Genomic DNA, 24,564 nt, shown 5'->3' with positions numbered 1-24,564 from the left:
ACCTTAGTTCAACCCTCACCAGCATTTAAGAAACTCCAGCATTTAAGAAACTCCCTGACCCCAGACACTTCCCTCCTTCTTCTAACCTGTACAATGTTTCTGGATTAACTTTCTCAAACTCTTGTTTGATCATATTGAGAAACGAATATGCATAGTGGTTGAATGCAGAGCTTTGAACATGGCCAGATCTGGACTCAGTTCCAGCCATACTGCGTACTAAGCCTCAATCATCTCAGCTATAAAATGAGGATAATAGCAGCTGCTTTGTAGGCACGGGTGAGAATTAAATGAAATATTATGTATATTTACAGAGTACCTGGCTCCTGGCAAGCCCTACAGAGATATCAAGGAGAAGGAAAAATCATTTTCCTACTCTCAGTCCTAAAATGGTCCTCAGTGCCAATGAGGCACCTTGCTCTGCCTGGCAAGCCAGGCCCTCCAGAATTCGAATGCAGTTGTCCTGCAGCCCTGACACTTCCAGCCCCAATAAGTGACCCTTTACTTCAGCCAGGTTCGCCTCACACTGAATGTGTGTGCAGGTTACAGGATGCTCACCTCTCCCCCTACCAACCTAAATCCTATCTGGGTAGATACTTGGAAAATAGCCTTTAGGAGACCCTACTCAGAACACATTTTAAGATACAGTCCAGATTGATTCAAGAATTGCATGGTGTATGTGTATGTGTGTGTTTGTGTGTGTGTGCGCACAGATGCATGCACATAAACACAAAGGAAAAACAAAGTAAAATTATCTTATTATTATGGCTAAGACCTTTCATGTATACGAGCAAAAGAAAAATATACAAATAAAAAAGATTACTAGATTTGACCACACAAATGCTAAAAAAAGTCTCTGCATTTGAAAACACACTATAAACAAAGCTGAAAAATAAAAGACCAAATCAAGGGGACAAATATTTGAGCTATATATGCTAAATAAAAGATTAATAATTTATAAAGCATTGTTATTAATCAATAGGAGAAAAATAACCAATAGGAAAAATACGCATTGGACTTAAACTAGCAAATCACAGAAAAAGAAGCCTAGATGATAAAGAAATATACAGGAAAATGCTACCCTTCTAATAATTAGACAAAATTACAGTAAAGACCAAAGTCTCATTTTGGTCTCTCAAATAGAAAAGCTTCTTTTGTGGCCAAGTAACAATTGGTATTGTCAAATCTGCAAATAAACATGGATTCACCCTGGCAGGGAGAGCAGTGAGCACAACCTGCCCCTACAAGCCACAATGACAAGATACATACAAGGTTTCTAAAATGTGTATAGCTTTTTACCAGTAATTCTAACTTTAAAAATTAATCTTAAGAGACTATTCATCAATAAGCACCAAGATTTCTGCATAAAGACTTTCATCACAGTGTTCTTTGCAATAGAATAAAAAGGAACATCTTAAATTTCCAGTAGTAAGATATTGAAATGTAAATATTAATGGTATATTCACATGAGAGAATGCTGTGCAACCATTCAATATTATATTTTAGAATAATATATAGGAGTTAAGGGAACTATTTGCAAAATATTATAAATAAAATGTTAGGTAGTATTCAAAATTGGCAATTCTCTATATATTTCCAGAAGGGAAAAACTCGGGTAGGATATGCATGACAATGTTAAGTAGCTGTCTCAGTATGAAAGAATTATCAAAAATTATAATTTTGTTTATTGTCACTTATTTTCTCAGAAGAGATGAACGTAAATTACACATAACCAAATGGACTTTACCAGGCTTCAAAATCAGACTTCCTTCGTCAAGTCTGCCCTGGCTACCACAGACCTCACTGAACTACTCATCCTTCACACTCTCTTAGCCATTATTATCCATGTTATACAATCACCCATTTGATCAGATGCCTCTTTGTACTGCTGTCTAATTATTCTGGGTTTGAAAGTATTAATTCCTCCCACTAATATCTGGATCTACCTCACCCATGGCAGGTTGTATTTTCCAAGACGGCTGCAACAAGTTCTCTCATCCCACATACTCTTCTTACTGCTGACATGGACACTCCTCCTATGAACAGGCAGGGCTTATGGTCCCTATCCTTGCATCTGAGTGGGCCAGTGCCTATGGCAAAAGTGATGCTATGTAAATTCTGAGGCCAGGATGTAAAAAAAGGATAGTGCTTCCACTCAGTTCTCTTGGAGGTGCTCTTTTTTGGAACCCAGCTGCCACATTGTGAGGAAACCCAGACCACATGGAGAGTCCACTTGTAGGTGGTCTGGCTAAGACCCCAGCTGAAGTCCCAATAAACAGCCAGCAAAAAACACCAATATGCAAGTGAGAAAGGTGTTAAGCTGACTCCAAACCCACCATCTGCCTGCACACATAATAGACCCTGTTTAAGAACTGCCTAGCTGAGCTTAGTCAAGTGCCTGACTTTTGACAGATAATAACAATAAAAGAATTGCTGTATCTTAAGTCAATAAGTTTTGGGGTGATTTGTTACATGGCAATTAATAACTGGAACTTATTCACACCACCTTTTTATCTCTGCTGCCTCAAAGATCCCCTCTCTGGACCACTTTCAGTCCTCAATCCCTTAGCTTTACAAAAACTAATCCATGTATATTTATTATACAAATGAACGAATGAATGAGAGTTCTAACCTTCACTTTATTCCTTAGATCCAAACTTGTACATGTCAAAAAGTCTTCTTAGTAACTTCCTCACCTAAGAGAACCAGAAAATAATTTTTATACATCTATGAACTTTATATTTCCTTCTGTGTAATTCCTTTCAATTATACCCCTAACTACTCAGCATGCAGAAAAATTTTACTTACTGAAAAAAGAAGACTGCATACAACAAAAGGACAAGTGAAGAAACTGACTTCTCTGGTTTGTCCTCTTCTCAGGAAGAAGCCACTCCCTAGGAAAAGGTGGGCCTGCTTTGGTAACCAATATGGTAATAGGATACTGATACCTTCCTACCCTTGGTAAATAGGGATGCCAACTACAGAACTGCAGCCCCAAAGAGCAAATAGGCCTCTCAGTAAGGCATTATTACTATAGCCCTAATGCATGGTGCCAACTATGTGGTGTGGTTTGGAGAGCAAAGGGTCTTTTCTATACTAACCCACCATGCCAGATCCAGTCATGGGTTAAGCATTTTCCTCTCCAGGCTTTTTTGTTAAGAAATTCCCCTGGGGAGGGAGCACACATTAACGGTGCAACAGAATCAGCAGCAGCACTCTTTGTTATTTTGCCTGATGTCAGCATTGCATGAATGTGTTCATGGGATTTTGTCCCTGGACTGCAGGCGGTAATTGGGCACAACCGAGGCAGGGGCTCGTGGGTGAGGATGCCCACAGAAAAGAGAAAATTAAAAGAAGGGAAATGTAGAAATTCCAAAATCAAGTTTCTTATGTTTTACAAGCTTCCATGTTTTACAATTGCACCAAAATTTTACTTGATGGGAACTGATTAAATTTGGTTCATCTTTTATTTTTTATGTTTTACTGACTTTGGTAATTAGCAAAATTGGGATTACCAGGAACTAGTGTTGCTCCCCTCATTTATGAGGCCTCAGAGACCCTCAACTTATCCTGGGCCGTTGGGGTGCCATTAATGTCATGCACAAGAGTCATCTAGACATCAAAGTTCCTTTTCCTTATTGCTGTCATCTCACCAGTTGGACCCAGTGACTCAGAAAGGCAAGGATGTCATGACTCACGGGAGGAAATAGGGAAGTAGAAGGACCTATTCCAAGCACAGCCTTACATGAACACTCTTCAAAGACGCGGGATTGTGTCAGATCCTGAAAAAGAGTTTGATGATTGACTTTCTCATTCCTCCTCTCCAGACACTGTTCAAAGCATGGAAATGAGCAACATTGGCACCTTTTTGTATTAATCTGACATTTTAGAGGTTGCTAATTTGTTTTGTGGCCACTCATATCAGCTTGAGTTTGTATCTCCATGTAACTTCTCTAGGATCACTAGATGTCCCCCTAGAAAGCCAGTGATATGATGCTTGATATACTTTATCTGCTTTGACAGGACTGACCACAAGCAAAAGGTATTTTTGCTTTCCCCTTTCCCAGAGGTAGATATTTTTTCTGCCAAGAATTTATTTTGCCAGACAAAAAAGTGAAGTTTATGTTAAGATTAGTTCCCTGGGTTTCTCAACAAATTTCTAAGATTGAGCTACCTGCTACTCCCATCACCATCACTATCCCCACCCTGACCATGTGCCCACCTACTTCATCTTTCCCAACACCTAAACAGGTGGGCCTCATTACTTTCACTATCTCCATGATTACTGCCAATTAATCATCACCACGAACATCATCAGAATGGCCTTCACAAACCCCAACTGGGAAAGGCCTGTTCCCACAGCTACAGAAATCTACATATTAAGACTTTCAAGCTCTTCAAGCTCGAGAGCTCTGGAATATACTAATGGAGAGAAACCGTGTTGGAAAAGACCCCTGGGAGAGGTAGGGAGGTAAAGTGTGCCCAAGTCGCCTCTCAAAATATCCAGCAAGCAGCCATCGGGGAGCATGTGCCCGTTCTTTGAACTCCCTCAAAGTACCTTTCATCTGTTCTAAATCCAGGATCATCTTTTGTACAAGGCTTGCTGTTTCTGGATAAATCCTTGGCCCTTGTTCAAGCCCTGGACTGTGTCAGGATGTTCCACAGACCCCAGCAGGAAAGCATTGCTAAACAAGCATTTCCAGCGGGACCCCTTTCTCGTGACAGGGATTCCAAATCCCAGCCCAGAGCATCTGCATTTAGAGTATCAATGACAAGGCAATACCGTTGCGTTCTCATTTCAACCCCAATTTTCCTGGAGGAAGCCCCCACAGCTCCACCAGGAGATAGTCTTTGGTTGGTAGTTTCTTTCCTGAGGCACTCTATTTTCAGCTTCATATCATAACACGGACTCTTTCCCTGCGGAGCAAGCTGGTAAAACATTTTTCCTTGCCTAAGCATTTGCCTCATCTCTGACTCAAATCTCCAACCTGGAAATGAGGGGGAGGGCAAGCCAACATGGCTCCAAGGGGAAAGCCTCCTGCTCTGCCAGCAGACGGCACCTCAGTCCTGAGAATTACTGTGTGAGGCTAAGCTGATATCCTCTCCTCTCTGAGTCCCCATCTCACCTCCCATTGTCAGAGAAAGAGTTTGGCACCATCTGCTTCCTTGGGAGTGGCAGAAGACTAATACTATTTTCCCAAGTGTATTTGCAAAATTAGACACTTTCTCCTGGTATTTTTATTTCCTGGTTGTCAAATGATCCTTTATGGAAATATTTTCCTTCATAGGTCTAAACTAGCTGGGCATTCCACTGCATCACTGTTGATGTCATCTATGATATCATGAAGGTGGTGGCCATCAACATTACAGCCCACAAACTGTGCAGTACTCCAAAGCTATTTTATGGTTCCAGAGTTCTCTAATTAAAGACTGGTGCTGCATCTGTTGGGCAATCTTGACAATGTCATCAAAAGTGATACTGTCACTGTGCTTAATGTTTTTCTGCTTCTTTCTGTCTCTGACTGGTTCCTTGGGGACTTTGATCATCAGGACAGAGACAAAAAGTACCACCTCAATTTGGCCTGTCTGTTCTGAATGGTCAGTTCCACTGTAATACTAAGACCATTCTAGTCACTGGTTGCTTTGGGTGATATTATCACCAACCGTTTTTGAAAACAGATAGATCCAGGAGGTCAAGGTCAGACGTGGCACCAACTTCCCCACTGGTGCACCTCAGGTACAGGCCTATAATCTTGTTGAGGTCAAATGTGGGCAGAATGGTGGATGTGGCCAGCGTCACATGAACCTGGATACAGGACGACTGAAAAAAGTTACACCTTGGCATCCTCCAAGCCAAAAGCAGAAAGCTCTCGTCGCATTTTTAAACAGTCTATCTCTTCATTGCATTTTCATTTAGTGTGTTTTCTAAGTCACAACCAAATTTGTGAGCAAAGAAAAGTGATTTCATTCCCATTTTACAGGTGAGAAAACAGATCCAGAGTAGTATATAGCATCTCTTTCAAGGTCTTAGCTATCTGCAAAATGGCCACTTTGGGGCTAGAAACCAGATGTTCTAACTGTCGGAGCTCAGCTCCTCACACTTCCCACCTACTGGCCTGTGTATAATAAATGTAAGTCACCAAACAAGCCTGAAACCAGTCAAAGGGAGCATGAATATTATGAATAGATTGTGAAATGTGAGTGGACTATAAAAAGTAGCCATTCAAATGTGCCTCACACTCTCCCATGAGGACACTTTCACCCTAAAACACACAAGGCCCACAGGTTACTCAGAGACACAGATACCCCACCCAGGACATCTGTGCTGGAAGAGGACTGAGGAGTCAGCTCATCAAACACCTCCATTTTATAAATGAGAAGAGTGAGGCCCTGCAAGATCACTGACTAGTCAAGGCCACTCCAGGACTCAGACTTATTGGATGCCCGTTTCCAAAACTCTCCTTTCAGAGACTTCGTCTGCCTTCTATGAGAAGGACATGACCTCTGGTAGAGGCCCAGGCATTTCACTGTGAGCCAGGAGAGTTGGCCCACAGCTATGGACACAGGCAGAGTAACTGAACACCCAGCCAACGAACTTCAGAGGGACTAGGAGGAGGAGCATCTATAAAACCATCCCTTCAGCAGCCTGCCTCAGTGCATGAACTTCTGAAACAGGAGTTCCCTTATCCCCCACAGGACATGAGACAGGGGTGTGGCTCACTTCTTCAGTGCCCCATTGCTCAAACCCCTAGGGGGAGCAGGCAGAGGGCAGGTCGTGGGGAGCGTTTTTGGGCTCTGACCCCATGGCAGCATCTCGGGTTGAGGGTTTACAGCTCCTGAAGCCCCAGTGGGTGTGTTACAGTGCGCTTCTTCAGTTTTGCCATCTGCAGGCTATTTGTGTTAATCAGCTCAGTTAGACCCTCTGCCTTATCGTGAGGATAGAGGGCTTTCTGTATTCCAGGTTCTTGTCTTAGTGTACTGGAAAAATCAGATCACACATGGGCTTGGAGGATGGATGCAAGGTTTTACAGAGTGGAGGTAGCTCTCAGAGAGGTGGATGGGGAGGCCAGAAGGGGGATGGAGTGGGAAGGTGGTCTTCCCTCCGAGTCGGGCCGCCCAGCGGCCGGTCTCTCCTCCTACCGAGTTCCCCTTGGCATCCGCATCGTTCCGCAGTCCATGGCCTGCCAATGTCTCCTGGTATGTTCTTTTGCTGGTGTGTTCCTCTCGACGTTCAGCTACTTGTGTGCGTGCCCGCTAGGGTCTCGGGGTTTTTACAGCCACAGGATGGGGTGCATGGCAGGCCAGAGTGGTCTTGGAAAATGCAACATTTGGGTGAAAAAAACTCAGGAGTTCCTATCCTCACTTAGGTCCATGGGCACGAGCTCGAGGGTGGCACCCTCGCCAGGGACCCCGCCCATCTCTACCCAGCACTTCCCTGCCCCCCACCTGCATCACTTCCACTATTAGGTATCCAGTTCCATGGATTATGGCATGAAGGACTATGGTCCAAATGTAAAAAGACCACACAGGATCACTGATATCGGGAGCAATTCGTAGCCATCAATACCCTGAGTAACTTAATCAAATGATCACTGGCAGAGGGGAGGACGCTAAAGAGACGGAACACAGAACAGGTGTGTTTTAACAAAAAGAAAAGGGAAGAAGGTGGTACCTGGCCTGAAACAGGGCTCTGACTAAGGAATGCTTAGTCTAAGCTCTGACTCCTCACTCTGGAGGCTAGCCTTGGAAACCTGGGACCCAGAGGAAGGGAAAAGTGATGAAGATATATGGATAGAGAAACATACTGCACCAAGTAGTGAAAACCGATGCAAGCTAGCTTAGTATTACATTTTTAAAATTTTTAAAGAATGTATTGGCTTGTGAAACCCAAAGGTCGGAAGGCGCTCTGGCCTCAGGCCCAGCCGTTTCTCTTACCTGCCTGGCTCTGATTTGCCCTGGGCTGGCTGCATTCTCCTCAAGGACAGCAAGCACAGTCCAGAGCTGCCCCAGGCTCACGGGCCAGCGGCTTGGCCCCTCCCAGCCTAAGGAGAGCTCCTTCTTTCCGAAGTGCAAGGCTGGCCTCTGACTGGCCATCCTAAGATCATGTGCCCTGCTTTAACTAATCCTTGTGCTCTGATTGGCCAGGTCTAGATCACGAGCTTTCTAGAGCGCCATTAGACTGACAACCACAACTTTCAATAAGGAGGCTGGTTTCGTCAGATCAGAGCCAATCACACTCCTACCTCCGAAGCTGCCGCACAGTGGGGGTCGCGGGAGGCCAGCCACTCTCTCAGGTGCTCCAGGGCCTTGGCCCTCATGGAAGGGTGGGGACTGCTGGAGGGAACCCAGGCCCTCCAACGCTGAACAATACTGTTTCCTCTGGAAGGGAGCTGTCAAAAACGCCATCTCAACTCGCGTCATTCTCTAGTTGTCTGTTATGTGCCGACCGCCTCCTCCCGTGTGAATTTTAGCTCTGTGAAGTCAGAGACTCCGAATGTTTTCTTGCTTGCGGAATCCCCAGCACTTGGCACACGGTACAGGCTCAGTAAATGTGTACGTGTGCACGACTGAAGCCTAGAGTGCGCCTGGGGATGCCCTGTGAGTCTCACGTCTGCTCAGGGTGGCATTCCCACTGCCCTCCGGGGCCCAGAGACAAGCTCGGAGCAACGGCGAGCAGTCACCCCTTCCCCTGGGCCACCTGCGCACACGGGAAACGTGCCAGGAGTAGCGCCTGCCTCTCCGTCTGTAGGTACTGCGGGGTCCTGCATTCCCTACCCCTGCAAAGGCCTGCTGACGCTTTGCTGAGGTTAAGCCGTGGAGGTGTGATGCCCCTAAACCGGAGAATAGCTGAGGGCAGCTGCACGTGAGGGGTTAAGGGCCTGTGTGGGTGTGCGTGAGGGCAGTAGAAGGCCAGAGCAAGGATTCTGGGAGCTGCATGGAAGGAGGTTCTGCTGGTGCGAGGAGAGAGCAGAACAGGAAGGGGAAATGGCAAATGGCCTAAGCAACGCTCTGCTCCCAGATCGTTCACTCCCTCTGTCTCTGGGAGGCAACAAGGGGATGAGGAAAGGTTGCTGCCGTTGTCTTCTTTTCTGCACAGTCACCTGTAATCAAGGGCTCCATCAGACTTCCTGTCCCTGCGTGGTAGCTGCTTGACACAGTGAGAACCTCAGCTCCAGACTGGAGTTGCCTAGCAACTCGGAATCCTGAAAAGAAAGCAAGAAAATAGAGGAGCCAGACAGAAAGGGCAGAGGGAAGTGGGCCTGGCAGAGGAAGGAATTAATCAGGAACAAACAGCCTTAAGCACAGGCTCAAAGCACAGGGCAGCTTCACAAGTCCTTAGGACCTCTCCACCCCAGCCTCTTGCTGGCTTCTCACCCTCTATTAGGTGCCTGCCAGTCTCCACTGGGGATACTTCCTGTCAAACTGCTTACCTCCCTTTAAAATGCAAATCATCTGGAGAGGGTTGTCCCATTTCGGTGTGGGAAGAGCTTATCAGACCCTTTGGGGAGGAGAGAAGAGGAAATGGGAAATGCTTCTAATCCCATTCTAATCCATCCTGTGTGTTTTACTCTATTCTATAGCAATTTGGTCCGTTTCATTCTTCTCCATTCTAAGTCTGTCCACTGGTGCAGGGCAAAGATGTCAGACTTGGGTGTTTGGCAGCCACCTGTGTGGCACTCAGTGAGCTGCTTACTTTAGGGAGCCTCTCAGTTCTGTCCAAAATAATCCCAAGTCATGGATTGTTGTGAAACCCATTAAGCAAAATCCTGCAATTGAGAATATCTGGCACAATATTTGACACGTAGATGGCACACAGTACATGCTAGTTTCCCCTACTGAAGAGTGGAGTCATAATGTCATAGTCATTGGGACCCCTGGGGTCTGTGTAGCCCTCCCACTTTGGTGCAAATTAACCAGAATCTAAATTTTGGAGGTGAAATTTAGTCTTGGAACCCAAAAGTGACTTCAGTCCTTGCTCTTAAGGAACACTCTGTGGGCAAGGCTGAACCCCAGCTGCCAGGAGAGTCAGAGAATAGGCAGTGGCACAATGTTCTCTCCTGAATTAATCAGTTGTTCCATTGTCTTTATTTTTCCAGCACCACTGGGACTATTCTTGCATCGGTTGCCTTTGATGGGTCCTTTCGGTGAACCTATGGTGGTGCTTCTGGTGCATCTCGCTGTCATCATGGCTGCAGGAGTCAGGGCTGGGGTTAAGAATTTGTCTGGAATTGGGTTTGCCATTTTCCAGGTTGGGGGTCAGGCCTCTGGACAAAACCAGGGCTTAAAATTTCACTGGCAAATGGAATTAATGTACAAACTAACAACGTTGTGTTTATCCAACCATCTATCCTGTACTTACTGAGTTGGGCCTAGCACTGCACTAAATGGAGAGATCACATGGAAGAGAGGATGCAGCCAGAAACAGCCTGAGTTTTCTGCCCAATAAGAGAACACTGGAGAATAGCACATTATTCAAATTCAAACAGAACAATTCCTTTTGTCAGGGCAGGAATAGTGCAGAGGAAATGGAGATGGCCTGGTCAAGACAGAGGTCTCCTGAGGCAGAGGGAACTTTTTGAAGCTCCTCTTCCTTACCCAAACTGGTGAAAACAGTTTGCAAAAGGTAATATGATCTTTTCTAACTTCCACATTTCTGGACCCAGCTGAACCCTGGAAAACAAGCATACCTAAGAATAGAAAGAAAAGGTACAGGCAAGCAAGGACCCCCAAAGCTTGAAGTATAATTAGAGCTGGTGGAGAATTAACAGGAGAGGAAAGAAGAGGGAACACGAATGCCCCAGTGTCATTTCTACAACTACCTGTGTGGGTGTTTGATGAACAGTGTCATACAGCATCTTGGCCTTGAGTCTTCATTTATTCACTGGTCTCAAGTTAGAGCAGTTCTGTCCTCTATGTTGCCAAGGCATGTGTGATTTTTGAGTGTTCATGTGTGCCTGCATGCATGATGTGTTGGGGTGGACATCTGTGTGCTTGTTAAGGGAATGAAGGGACATCTACAGTGCAGGCAGGTAGAGTCTGAATTGTGTGGATGTGTAATATTGTGTGGATTCATGATGGAAAACACCCTGATATTAAAACAAGAACTGGCTTGAAAGCCAGAAGTTTCTGGGACCTTTAGAAATGTCCAACAGTTTTGTTTCTTTTGGTGCTTCTGTCCAACTGTATTCCTGAGACAAGTCTTTAAGCAGAGAGATGGTCTGAGATAAGAGCTTTTCTGAGCTGCCCAGAGTCGTCCTGGTGATTATCAGAGCTACCCACACCATGGCTGTGGTTAGATTCCATATTTACCTCAAGTGGGATGGTCTCATCTATCCATGGGTGACCTACTTTCAGGGCAAGGCAGAAAACAAGGGCATCAGAAGTTGGCTCTCTGATGGTTAATTCCTAAGGAAAGATGCTGCCAAGGGGAGGAACCCTGTGGGCCATCCCTCCCTGCCCTTTATTTCTGTCCTACTCAGGAAGTTTCTTAATACCCCCAGTGTATGGCTTTTCATGTCCATTCTTGGCCTTTGTCTGTGCTATGCCCTCCACCAGGAATGTTCTCCTCTGTCCTTCTCTGTCTGTCCAAACCTCTGCATCCTGCTAGGCTCACACTGCACACTCTCTCCACTTCTGCTCCTGGACTGTCTGTGTGAACCACTCCTCCAGAATTCTATTCTGTCTCTAATTGTTTTCCATCTGAGTTTTGCCTTTCCAATTGAGGCACCTCCTCCCCCGCTACACTCCCTGACTTGGGCCGAGCTTTTAATAAAACCTGCTTCCCTTGAATTAACTCTGTAGCAGTGCTGTAGTGTTTACAAGAAGCCACTTCCCATGAATTACATAATTCAAGCTTCACAATACTCTTTTGAGGAAAGCAAGAAAGAGCTTATTGTCCCCATGTTACAGATAAGAAAGGTGAGTTTCAGAGAGATTAGTGATTTATTCTAAAGTCATGTAGCCTGGCTAGCAAATCCAGCCAGCCAATCCCAATGCTACTCTTCTCACTATAGCAGTAGTGAGACAGCCAGGCCTTTCCTAGATACCACTTACCTCCTCATCTCAACTATTTGTTCTCCTCATAGCTCAGGGCCGTCTAGGTAATGCGTCTTTCCAGCTGCCTCCTAACTGTCCTGAGTATCTGAAACCCCATCCGCAATGCTAAATCCTTGGCTCGTATCTACCCCAGCCAGATTGGAAAGAGGTTTGGAAATTCAATCACTGTTGCTAAAGTTTGATGAGGGATTAAAACAGAAGCACTTAAAAGTTGACTTAGAATGGGTAACAATCCCTTAATCTACTCCTTGTCCACCACAATAGCAGACATCTGAGGAGAATGGTCCGTTGGACCTGTGTTGTTTGGTATGGTGGCCCCTAGCCACGTGCAACCACTGAGCATTTGAAACAAAGCTCATCCCAATTACAATATGCTTTAAGTATAAATAAACATGGGATTTCAAAGATTTAGCATGAAGAAAAAGATGTAAAATATCTCAATAATTTTTATAACATTTTGTTAAAATTTGGAGATTTTACATATATTAAAAGTATATTAATAAAATTAATTTCACCTGCTGCTTTTTACTTTTTTAATGTGGATATTAATACATTTAAATTATGTATGTGGCTCACATTACATTTCTATTGGAGTCTCAGTATGGACAATAGGGCTTTTCTAGTACTTCAAATAACTCCACATGCAGGTTATTTGAAGGTATGCTCAGATTATGCTTGAGGTTCCATTATCTGCAGCAATAAGAATTCAGGACAGAATTCTTCTAGAAGATGGTGCTTGATTACTCCCAAAAGGAGTCACCAGCTGTCAGCTTCTTGGGCCCCCCAGGGTTGATGGTCTGCCCACCACAGAAACACCCGGCATCCCCAGCTGAGCCCAGACTGAATTCCCTGAGCCGGGCTCCCCACCTGGGCTGGGAGTCTCTCTAATGCTTCTGTCTTCCTGGCTCCCAAGGGAGGGCCTCTAGTTAAAGGCATGCCTAAAACTCCCAAATCTGCCATGGAACACTGAGAGGCTATGCTCTCTATGGAATCTTCTGAGAGATTGCTGACTTTGACCAAAACAAAAGATATCAGAATTAAAGGCTGTTTAAATCAAGGTTAATATCATTTAATTGGAGTGGAATCTGGGGCCTGCATTGATTGAGTCCTTGCAGGGAAAAGCCACCTCCCTTAAACAGCATAATCCAAACTTCTTAAGCTGGCACTGGAAAGAGAATCTATTTATAAAAGGCAACTTCTGCCTAGGGTCTTAAGTATGCCTCCAAACTTTTTCTTCACTTTAAGGATCTGACAATATTATCAGCATGCTGGCCTAAAGTGAACGCTACTTCCCCTTTGGAGAGCATGCTGCTAGACTCAGGGTCAGTTCAGGGGACCAGAACCATTGAGCTGAAATCAGTGGTCAAGTCCTGGACAAGAAAAACCCAGTCACCTTTTATTCATAGACCACCTTCAATGGGACTACTTACATCTCATGTCCTTGTCACCCCTTGATGGGATGGGGAAAGCCCCTAGAACTACAGTTTGTTTCCAAAGATTCCACATAAACCAAAAGAGGCCACCCTCAGAGGCCACTGCTGGCCTTAGCTGTGCCAAGCAGCTCCGAATGAAGCAAAAACAGAAACACATGATCAGCCATTTTCCAACAGAGGAAAGCCTGAAGCCCCCTGGAATGTGAAGCCACAAAGCCAGGAGAGTCTGAAGATCTCGGGCTGCCCCTCAGTCCAAGGTGGGGGTAAGGGACACATAACGATGCCATTTCATATGATTAAAAATATATTGCATAAATAAGGCCAAGGAAAATAGAATAAAATATAAACTAAAAATAAATGGTTGAGTCAACTCATCTTTAATGCTTTTCTGTGTAACATCTATTTTGTATAATGGAATACGACTTTCATACTCCGACTGCAAATTTAACCTTGGCCACAAGTTATGATGTACATTACAATACACTTTTATTATGTTATACAGTATTGTGGTGGTTTTTTTAATCTATTGCTAAGCCCCTAACAGTATGTCTGCATCAGTGAAGCCCATCTGTCACAACCACAGTGGAGACATTATTATGTAAATAGTTCTAGGGCCTCCTTTTGGGGGAATTTAATATACTGTCCTAATATCCCAGCCGGAAAAAAAAATGTTTATGAAAAAAATATATATATTTTTTTGGTTTGTTTCATTTGTAGAGAAAGGCAGGTTGAGTTGCTCAGGGTTTTTTTGTTGTTGTTTTTTTTTTTAATAGTCCAAATCTCTTTTCTTCTCTCACTCACAATGTCTTTAAAAGCTAATGATATGGCTCCCAATAAAATAAAATAAAATAAAATACATGAGAGACTTCTTTTAAACACACCAGCTGAAGTATAGGGCATTAATATCGCACAGCCTAGTGCATTAGCCATCTTTCCTATATTACAGTCATATTTCAATAAACTAAGTTTTCTTAGCAGGTGCCATCTTGGATTATTTCTTCATTAGACTGAGTTATAAAATATGCAGAAGGGTATGCTGAATTTTTTATTTCTTGCCAGTTTTAAGCCTTTGCCAAAATCCATACATCTAAATTTTCCCTCTTAAAGGTGGAGGGCAACACCGGGAAGGGATGGACAGACACTTGTGCTTGCAGGGCTGAGGGAACAAGGGCAGGACCGAATGAAGTGTGGCTTGTAAACAGAAGATGCCAGTGTCCCAGACTTCTTATTGCATCTTAATGAACCAAGCCAGGATTTTAGGGCAGCACAAAGAAAGGAGCTAATCATTGGTGGGAGCTGGGCCACCTGGACCTCCCAGCCCCACATCAGCCAAATCCTGGCTTTTAATCAGGCCTCAAACATTCACTGAGCACTGGCCAAGCAGTGAGTTCTTTGAGAGAAGCAAGAGAAGTGAATTACATACTCAAGGGCATCCACTGTGGACGAAGAAAGAATAATGTGAGGATAAAGTGGTCACATGATGGTAAGGGTGGTTTGGACTAAGGGCAGTGTGAGTTGAACAAGGAAACTACAGTGCAGAACTGAATAATCAAGGGAAGCTTCTTGAGGCAGTGAGGATTCTGCTAGGTCTTGAAGAAGTAGAATTTAGGTGGTTCGAGTGGAGGAAAAGTGCCCCCAGACATCACAACTCAGGCATGCATTTCTACCTGCTTCGGGCAAGAGAGAAGACACAATGAAGGCCCAGAGGCAGAAGGAACACAGAGGACTTAATAGTCCACAGCGGTATCACCCTGAATGCACCTGATCTCATCAGAGGGCTTGATAAAGAGGCAATGGGCTTAGAGAAGCAGGCTTTCCATCTTAGCTTGCTGGGATCGAGACAGGTCTGGCAACAAGATAGGGTAATTCCACTAGGTGCCTATTTAAGATAATCCTCTTAAAATAAGCAGAAGTCAGGAAACCAAGCTTAATCCAGGACAGAGCAAGAGTGGTCAGTGAAGGAAGGTCATTTTGAGGCCAGCATGACACTTGTCCCTCATACATGCCTCTCATTCCGGCCATGTCTCAGGTCGAAGGGGGAAAGAGGGCTATAAGGAAAATCAAGAAAAAGCCACTTCACCAAAAACACTGCCTGACAGTCCTACTTGTGACCTCACCAAGAGCATGTCACACACAGGGTAGTGAAGCATTCTCTGACACCCTTAACTTATCACTGCTTACAGGAAAGTGCCTACGAAACACCACCTGAGAAGCTAAGTGTCTTAGCAGAGGTTGTTTGTGTGCATCAGCAAGTGGTCATAGTGAATGTGACTCCGTTTACCCACCCGCACCATGTCCTCAGTATATATAGATCCGGGTAAAGGAAGGAACGGCTGACAAGTTCCCTGGGGCCCAGGTGGGAGACAGAGTTCTTGCGCTAAGAGCAGCAACTTGCACCTGTCTGTGGCACGTGAGGACCATGTGGGTGAACGGCCATTCCTCTGGGTGAGGCGCTCTGTTGTGCTCAGTAAGGATCCAGCTAGACAAAGCTGGTTTATCTCAGAGCCAGGCAAATGGGAGCCTAGAAAAAGTCCCTGTGGCTTAGCTACACTAGTTACTCAGTTACTCTCTCTGCAAGGACCATGGCAAGAGTGTCAGGGAGGGAGAGCAGAAAAGGCCCCATCTAGGCCAGCCAGGAGCCTCAGTCCAGGCAGAGGAAAGAGTCCCATGTGAAGAATTAACTTACTCAATTCTTCCTGCCTGTAGTAACTCCAGATGACCAGTGGAGAAGAGAGGGTGCAAGAAGGAGGTATGTGTGACTTTCCCAGAAGACTGAGCCTGGCGCTAGCTTTGAAGAGTCCTAAGAACTGGACTTGGGAGGTAGTGGGGAGCCCACGGGGAGCAGAGGATGGTCAGTGCCCGGGTGTCTCCCTCATCCCACTCCCCAGAGCAGTCAAGAGCCAAGCATGCCTGTTCCCCCTTAACCAGGTTCAAGTCTCAGCTCTGCCGGTTGTGCTACATGTGATCTTAGGCTAATTTCACAATCTTTCTGAGCCCCTGTGTCATCTTTAAGGAGGAGCAATGATGCTTACCTATTATGATTGTTGTGAGGGGTAGATGAATATCAAATGGCATATAGTAGGTGTTCAACAAATGGTAATCTCATTCCTGCCTTGAAGGTCCACTTTGGTGGTTGGGATTTATAGTCCATGGACTCATAAGTATATCCGTGGCATCTAGTTACATTTCAACCTGTGCTGCCCCTGGGGGTAGCAAATCTCACACAATGACCCCCACTCCAGGATCTCCTGCTAGAGCTTCCTCAGTGCTAGACATACCTTCCCAGGTCTCCTGTGCTCACCTGCGGACACATTAACTCCATGAGTCAGCGGGGAGCTTTTAGGAGGCCAAGTCAGGGCCTAAAAATGGTTGATTTCAAGAGGCCATATGAACTTAAGCCTGGTGCCACTGCAGATGGAGGCCCAAAATTCCAGAAAGGGACCTTCGTCTCCTTAGTTTAGATCCCCATAAACCTGCAAGGCTGCAAGGGAGGAGCACAGTGTTCCTATCCAATCACTGGCCCCTTGGGGAGAATCTTAGCAGAGTGGGTGGGAGTGGAGAGCCTAGGTGGGAGGGGTTGCTTCTACAAGAGGACAGCTTCACTAGCACTGTGGATAGCCCCAGAAGATGAATGACAGGAGCTGCCCTGGCCACATCCAACAACAGGAGCTGAGGACTGTCTGTGTCCTCCCAGGCATCTCCCACCAGCCAAGCCTTCATTTCTGCCTCCTGTTCTCAGCAAGCGGTTGAGTGGATCCCCTGCAACCCCCCTCCATGCCCACAGAAGTAAGGCCATGAAAGGTGGCCCAGCCCCACCCGGCTGCCCAGGATTCTGTCCCCAAGGCTATCGTCCTCAGGCACCGTGGGAGTCAGGGAAAAGAAGGTGCTAAGGGTAGGAAAGGAAGAACCAGGAGATGGGCCATCTGGGAAAAGGACAGTGAACTTCCAAGTGAGATTTGCACAAGATCTCTTTTCTGCACAAGAACCTCTTTTCATCTAATAGCAGTTAGAAACTTCTAGGTCATGGGACAGCTTCACGGTGATTAATTATCTGTCAGCTGAGAGGCAGTGGTGCAGTTGCCTGAGGGTGACACCCGGGGATGGGACCCCAGAAGAAACTAAGAGGGCACCACAGTGGCTAGGGAAGTCTAGAGGACATGTTTTCCCTCTTGTTCAGGGCTGGAGTTAGGCTCTGACACCTGAAACCATCTGGTAGCCCCTCTCCAGGATAGACATAATTTCAGAGACTCCTCCAGTCAGACCCTACCACAAATCTGAGATGCTGCAGAAAGAGGAAAGTTGGTGAGGAGGGAATAACAGCTTCCAACTTCCATCTAAACTCTCTCTATCCAAGCTCAGAAGTCAGATAATCAAGAATACTACAATAAGATTGCATGACCTACAATCTCTCCCAAAATCATTAAGAAGGGTCTTCAGTGTCTTATCCTACAGATGATGGGATTGACTCTCAGAGAAGTTTCACAACTTGCCAAGACCACACAGGACTCTGTCCCCCTGACCCTGACTCCTATTTCTGTGTTCATTTAATAACCCCAGAGTTACTCAAGAAGAGGTCAGGGGAGCATTAGTACAGCTGTCTGCTCCTCCTGAGCCTGGAGTTGTGATGCCCAATAGCAACGCTTCTTCTCCTGGCTGAACCCAGGATTGACCATGTCCAGAGCTGAGTTAGCTGTTTGGGCACAAGTGGCTGATTAGTAAGGGGAAAGCAAGCACTTTGGGAAAGGCCTAACTGGGCAGGCACACAGATGCATATGGAAGAAGTCAGAGGAAGAGGCAGCTCCATTTGGAAACACCCCCACCAGGATGCAGATGTTCCAGCAGCTTGCTGGGCAGCAGGCCTGGCAGGAAGCTGCTCTGGCTCTGACCCCAAAACCCCCTTCTCACCCTTTCACTCTTTTCACTCTGCCCTCCTCCCTCCCTCCCCCACTGCCTTCCTCTCTCCAGGCTCTTTCCCCCCACCCCCACCTTCTCTTCCCTTTGCAGCACTTCCCACTCCCTCTGTCCCTCATACTCTGTCTTGTCCCTTTCTCTCCCTGACATTTGTGAGGACAGTCTCCCTCCCTCTCTTCCTCTCTCTCTCTTCCACTTCCTCCATGTCTAGCCATTCTGGTACTGAGTAGTTCATCTGGAAATAATAGCCAATGTGGCAATGTCTTAGTGTCTTGGGCTTTTTCTTCTGGCCAAAACCAGAGAGTGCAGACACAAGCAAAATGTGCTCAAGAGGAGAGGAGGAAGAGAAGAATCTTATCTAAGGACACGTTCCATTTTTATATTCCCTCCATATGACAGATGGATTGAAAAACAGAAAGATAATCTGTCCATTAAGCATCCAGAACTCACAGGGCACAGACATGAAATGATTTGCTTTTTCTCCAATCCCTGTTTTCAAACAGGTCCTGTTAAATTCCCTTTTCCATCCTTAATGATGACCTACGCACATCTCATTGCTGTCTAATCACTTCCAAATACTAAAAAGTACAAATGAATGGAGGCTTACTTAGAACTCCATGGTATATCCAATATAAGTGTCATTTCCTCCCCTCCCCAGCATTGGCCAGGCCATGGCTCAAAGGACAAAGAGATGAGAGAGGGAGCTCTGTTACTCTTAGGATACCTCCTACTCCCCCACTCTTTAGTATGTTATGACAAAAAAGGGTAGATACCAAGATGGAAAGTGACAAATATCTTTTACAGATATGGTACTGGGGTGGTTCTTCCTTGAATTCACTTACCATTACTGTCTGCTGGCTTCTAAACCTCAGCTTACTTGCTCTCCCATGATGGGCATGTTGGAGTCTTGGAAGACTACCCACAGGGGCTACCCCTGCACATTTCCCTAAGATGGGAGATTCAGCTCCACCTCCACCTCTCAAAGCCTCTCATCACCCTCTCTACCTCTGCAGTGGAGGTTTCTTCCCCAGGCAGCTAACTTGATGGTGGACCAGACAGTGGCAGGTGCTGTAGATAAAAGAGTATACGTGCTGCAGGTACAACCCAATGTCTACATCTTGAAATACTCCCTGGCTGAGACATCCAGGACTCTGTGTGTTCTGGTCCCTCACTAGCTAGCTCTGTATGTCAGTTGATCTTTGAAGTATGGCAGAGCTGAATTCAAATTCTAGTTCACAACATGCTCATTGAGTGACTTTGAACCAGCTATCACCCTCTTTTGCACCCCAGTTGCTTCATCTGCAAAATGAGGGTAATAATATCATCCATCCAGTGCTGCTAAATATGATCACACTTAGGCATAGGGCTGGCACAAAATCAATATTCAGTAAGTGATAAGCACATTATCTTACCTCTTGCAGTCTAATTTTCCCCATATTTAAAATAAAAATGAGGTGGTGAGTTCCCAAGTTCCTTCTCAGCTTTTAATTTTAGGGAGAGTGTACACATTTTTCTCCTCTATTGAGGTATTAGCTATGTCTATGCAGGACGGGACACAAATCTCCTTCCATGCCTGCCCAAATGTGCATCCTGAGCTGAGAGGCTAGGGGACTCAGCTATGAAACACTCATTCCCTTTATGGATCAGTTAATATCACTCAGGGCTTGGGCTACACACCCAAGCTGGACCTCTCACTAAGCCTAAAAAGTAAGCTCAATTCAGTATTGTCCACACCCAGTGCTAGAGATGGGATACCCAGAAGACACATCACCAAAAGGATCAGGACTTCCATCTGTGTATCTGGAAAACAATAATTTCTTACTGTGATATTTTTGTTTCTTAAAGTCACAAACCACACATTAACCACACAAGCCATATCTAGGAGATCAAGAATTGCAATATCGCTCTCCTACCACATTTGGGGGAATTGAAGAATTAAAAAAAAGAACTGCTTTTGCTCAAGGTCACACTGTCTGGAATCAAAACTCTCTTTGTCCTGAACTTAGTCTCCTGGCCAAATTGCCTCTGAAACACTTTCTCCCTCTCCTGGGCCATCCCTCAGTCTCTGCTAGGAACAAGGACAGGAGATCTAAGATCTCGAAGATGCTTCTAACTTTGTTCTTTTTCCAAGATTTTCAGACTCTGGGAGCCACTGAGACTCCTGGAGGGAAGAGCAGAGCTTTGCAAATTTGGAATGACTTTAGTTCAAAGCATTCTCCACTCTCCCTGTGTTCCCAGTGAAGACAAAACCCAAGAACCCTGGGATACCAAAAAGACCTCAAGATTATGTTGGTATTTCCTGAAAACTCACAGAGAACAGGGCCATGCAAAGGACATGTCAACAGCTTTTTTGATGACTTCAGTATAAGTGAACCAGAAAAAGATGGATTAAGTTTCCCTTCAAATACACATGTGCTGGAGAGTTGCAGCTGAGAAAATGCTTAGAGCCATGCATTTCCAAGGGCTGGTCAACTCCAAACAGAGTGGGATGTTTTGCTGAGTCCCAAACACTGACTTCTCTTCCCGTCCCTAAAAATAACTGAGCTGTCCAGCTGTTGGATGGATATTTTCTCCTTTGGTTTTTGTTTCATTTGATTTTCTCACAAAGTATCAGGGCGATAAACAACTTCAAAACCTGGTAGAATGTTCTGGGGGAATTAGGCATTCAGAAAAGTAAAAAGTAAAAATAAAAATCTGCCACAATCTCACATCATTGCCCTCACCAGGCATTCTGTCCTTTGAACATTACCTGTCATTACTTACCCATCTGTCAATGTCAACCCCAAGATCTGTTTCCTTTGGGATTATTTTGATCCTCATGAATATAGAAATCAATCATTGAAACAAGTTTTTGAGCACCTAGCATGTACCCACAGTGACTGTCTAAGACAAGGCCCTTGTCCACAGTGGGTTTATGACATAATTAAGAAGCTCCTACAAACTCATGAAGGAATTAAGAGGTAATAACAGATGGTACAGGTAGGTAAGAAGGTATGATACAAGAATAGGGGCTTTAGGCCTTCAGAGAATAGAGAAGGCACTGTGTGTATCAAAGAAAGTTGGAAATCATAATAACCAACATCCACTAACTGCTGCGTTTTGGGGACTTTCACAGATGTTTTCTCTGGACCTCCACAAAAGCCCTTTAACACAGACAGGGTATTGGTCATACAGATGGGAAATAGAGACTTGGAAATATTAAGTGTCTTATTCAAGGTCATTAGTAAGTGGTGGAGCAGGTGTAGAGACAGACTAAAGGCTTATAACCCAGGCACCTGTGCCTTAACGCCACACCAGTTTTCGAAACAGTTTGTTAAAATTTGATAGATAGATAACTATGGCCTTATACTGCAGATGATTGGAATCTGTGAGATTTCTGAATATATCCAAAGTTGACTTGCGCACCCCCACCTCTCCATTTTGCTAATGAATTACACCCATCTGGAATTTTCTCGTCCTTTCTCCTATTCCTAAAGATTCAGCACAAGCTTGTACTTGGATTTCCCCAGCCTAAAATGTTTTCTCCTTCTTTGGAATAAATAGGACTTAACGACTGTATCTCTCACATGTCAACTAATTATGTACTGGGAGTCACATCACTTCTGTTTTCTTGTACTTTTACTTAAAGTATCTTAGGTTATTATTTAGCACATCTATGTCTCATCTTCTGCAGAGATTAGCTGCTCTCTGAGGAGAGTTTTTATGCCTGATACATGGTCCCAACTGTTTTGAGAGTGGTCCAATGCTATGCTTAGTGAATATGTGTTGATAGGAGTGAAGATCTCCACCCTATGCTGAGTCCTGCATCGGCAGGCCCCGCTCCCATCTTGTTGTAGAACTCTGCATCTGCATGTTCTACATACTTCTCAAGCTCCTTGTGTTGAAAATGTTACCATCTTCCTCTAAAACTAGCTTCTCATCCAGAGGTTTCTCTTGCTGCCAGAAGCAATATAATTCTCCCAGTCAGGCTCCAAAGGTGATCATCAGTTTTGATCTTGATGCCCTAGGGTACTGTTGATTGTTCATTGAAGTTTCTTATAAATAAAAGGTGCCCTACCTTGTGCTGGATGATCTGGCAGAGATCAAAGGAAGAGCAAATTCCTAGGAGAGCTCCCAAGCAAAGAAAGGACAAGAAACACAGGGAACAAATTAGACAACAATGCAGGCTTTTGTGTGATCAGTTCACACTGCCAATGCCATACTTCAGAAGCAGGGAAGATGAGCTTGTGTTGAATTAGCCCACAGATGCTTCCTGGGAAAGTATTTGAGTAATCCCTGGAGGCAGGGAGGACTGAGTTGAGAGAAGGAGAAGGGGAAGCCTCTGGGGGCAGCCCTGTGGGGAGAAATAAGAAGATAAATGCAGGTCCCTACTCTCAGGCATCAGAAATTGTCCAGTTGAAGACAAAGGGAAACCGGTATAGGGAAGTACTTGAAATCCAAATGGAGAATCAGTCATGTCCACTGGGGCTATTTAGGAAGCTAAGAAAAAGATACCAGAATTAACATTCAGAACCTCAACTTGCTCTTCCTCCTCTTCCAGAACAGAGCCTGGTGTAGTCAGAATCCCCATGGCAGGATTCTGGGGTTATTCTCACCTTGCCATGGTGCATGTGCAGGCACATGTCAGAAAGAAATAGTACTCAGGGCAGGTCCCCCACACAATGCCTTTGAAAGCCTCTTCTCCTTCCCCCAGAGCTTGACTCCCAGCTTGGCTTGGGGTGCCCCAAAATCAGGAACCTCAGGTCAGCCTCCTGGAGGCTGGAAGGATAGGGGCAGCTGAGATCACTGGGTTTCAACTTTAGTGATGGGTTATTATTATTGCCCCTAAATGATTTTTCAAAGGCACAGGAAGAAGTCAGTCAACATTCCAAGTTCCCACCTGGAGGAGGCATTAGGAACTGTCCTGAGAATCCCACTTCTCCTTTCTTTCCTTGCTACCACAGCCATGAAAAAATACTTCCAGGCTGGGAGCAGTGTCTCAAACCTGTAATCCCAGCACTTTGGATGCCAAGGCAGGTAGATCACTTAAGGGCAGGAGTTTGAGACCAGCCTGGCCAACATGGTGAAACCCTGTCTCCACTAAAAATACAAAAATTAGCCAGGCGTGGTGGCAGGCGCCTGTAAACCCAGCTACTAGGCAGGCTGAGTCATGGGAATCACTTGAATCCTGGAGGCAGAGATTTCAGTGACCTGAGATCATGCCACAACACTTCAGCCGGGGAGACAGCGTGAGACCCTGAAAAAAAAAAAAAGAGAAAGAGAGAAAGAAAAGAAAAGAAAGAAGGAAGAAATGAAGGAAGGAAAGAAGGAAGGAAGGAAGAAGGAAGGAAAGAAGGAAGGAAGGAAGGAAGGAAGGAAGGAAGGAAGGAAGGAAGGAAGGAAGGAAGGAAGGAAGGAAAAACAGAAACAAAAACAAAAAACAAAAAAAAAAAAAAACAAAAAAAACCCTTCCATACCAAGATAAGAGACTCACAGGCAGCATAAATGACTGAGAGCTCCAACTCCTAACGTTTTATTTATTTATTTTATTTTATTTATTTATTTATTTATTTTCCTGAGGGACATAAGGCAGAAAACAGACACCAAGGCATGTTTCAGAGCAGGAGTGGAAGTTTATTTTAAAAGGCTTTAAAACAGGAAAAAAAGCAAAGTACACTTGGAAGGAACCCAAGCAGGCGACTTGAAGAACAAGTGCCCCCAACTCCTAAGACTTGAAATTCATCTCAGCATTCACACTGAATTGACAGCTCCCCAAGGCTGCTCCTCACAGTGACTAAATGTTGCCGGGATTCTAAGGAAGACCTGCTCCTGGGAAACAAAGGACTCTCTTGTTGATGGACTTTGGCTCATTGACACCCTGCAGCTTTGTAGAACCTTCCTCAGATTAATCCAGGACATTTCCGCCTATCTTCTTCTCTCCACTAAGTCAGACATGCAACAAACCAGTTCTGACAATTCTCCACCTTCCCTGGTTTCTTCTCTTTTTCCTGTCACAGAGGAAATTCTCTACTTCACCTCTCCCTGGGCTCAGAGAGCAGACAGGGAAGAGACTGCCAATGAATTTATCCTTGCAGAGGTGCCAGGCAACATCCACCAGACCTGTCTATGTCTACAAGCAGGTAGGTAATATTCCTTAATCCAAGAAGAATTCAAATTATTTATATCA

At 45.0% G+C, this 24,564-nt stretch overlaps 1 non-coding gene and 1 pseudogene across 1 annotated transcript, besides 3 other annotated features; both read right to left on the bottom strand.

The window, feature by feature from the left end:
* Positions 3,188 to 4,387: an enhancer, noted in NCBI's record as "P300/CBP strongly-dependent group 1 enhancer chr18:35254041-35255240 (GRCh37/hg19 assembly coordinates)". NCBI's record gives its function as "activates an origin of replication core promoter dependent on BRD2, BRD4, P300/CBP, MED14 and CDK7 cofactors, with strong dependence on P300/CBP, by STARR-seq in HCT116 cells {active_cell/tissue: HCT116}" and the evidence as "EXISTENCE:reporter gene assay evidence [ECO:0000049][PMID:35650434]".
* On the bottom strand, positions 5,292 to 5,770 carry RPL12P40 (ribosomal protein L12 pseudogene 40; annotated as a pseudogene).
* Positions 7,853 to 8,807: an enhancer, noted in NCBI's record as "H3K27ac-H3K4me1 hESC enhancer chr18:35249621-35250575 (GRCh37/hg19 assembly coordinates)". NCBI's record gives its function as "activates a minimal SCP1, AML or CMV promoter by ChIP-STARR-seq in naive H9 embryonic stem cells {active_cell/tissue: H9 hESC(naive)}" and the evidence as "EXISTENCE:reporter gene assay evidence [ECO:0000049][PMID:30033119]".
* Positions 8,808 to 9,764: an enhancer, noted in NCBI's record as "OCT4-NANOG-H3K27ac-H3K4me1 hESC enhancer chr18:35248664-35249620 (GRCh37/hg19 assembly coordinates)". NCBI's record gives its function as "activates a minimal SCP1, AML or CMV promoter by ChIP-STARR-seq in naive H9 embryonic stem cells {active_cell/tissue: H9 hESC(naive)}" and the evidence as "EXISTENCE:reporter gene assay evidence [ECO:0000049][PMID:30033119]".
* On the bottom strand, positions 21,250 to 21,330 carry MIR4318 (microRNA 4318). The gene has a single exon (NR_036202.1). It is a non-coding gene; the product is annotated as a microRNA 4318 (primary transcript).
* Positions 21,331 to 24,564: the final 3,234 nt, after the last annotated feature.

Source organism: Homo sapiens, chromosome 18 (genome assembly GCF_000001405.40).
Source record: "Homo sapiens chromosome 18, GRCh38.p14 Primary Assembly".
NCBI classification, from domain to species: domain Eukaryota; kingdom Metazoa; phylum Chordata; class Mammalia; order Primates; family Hominidae; genus Homo; species Homo sapiens.
Note: the sequence above shows the minus strand (reverse complement) of the source record. Positions and strands in the feature narration are given on the sequence as shown.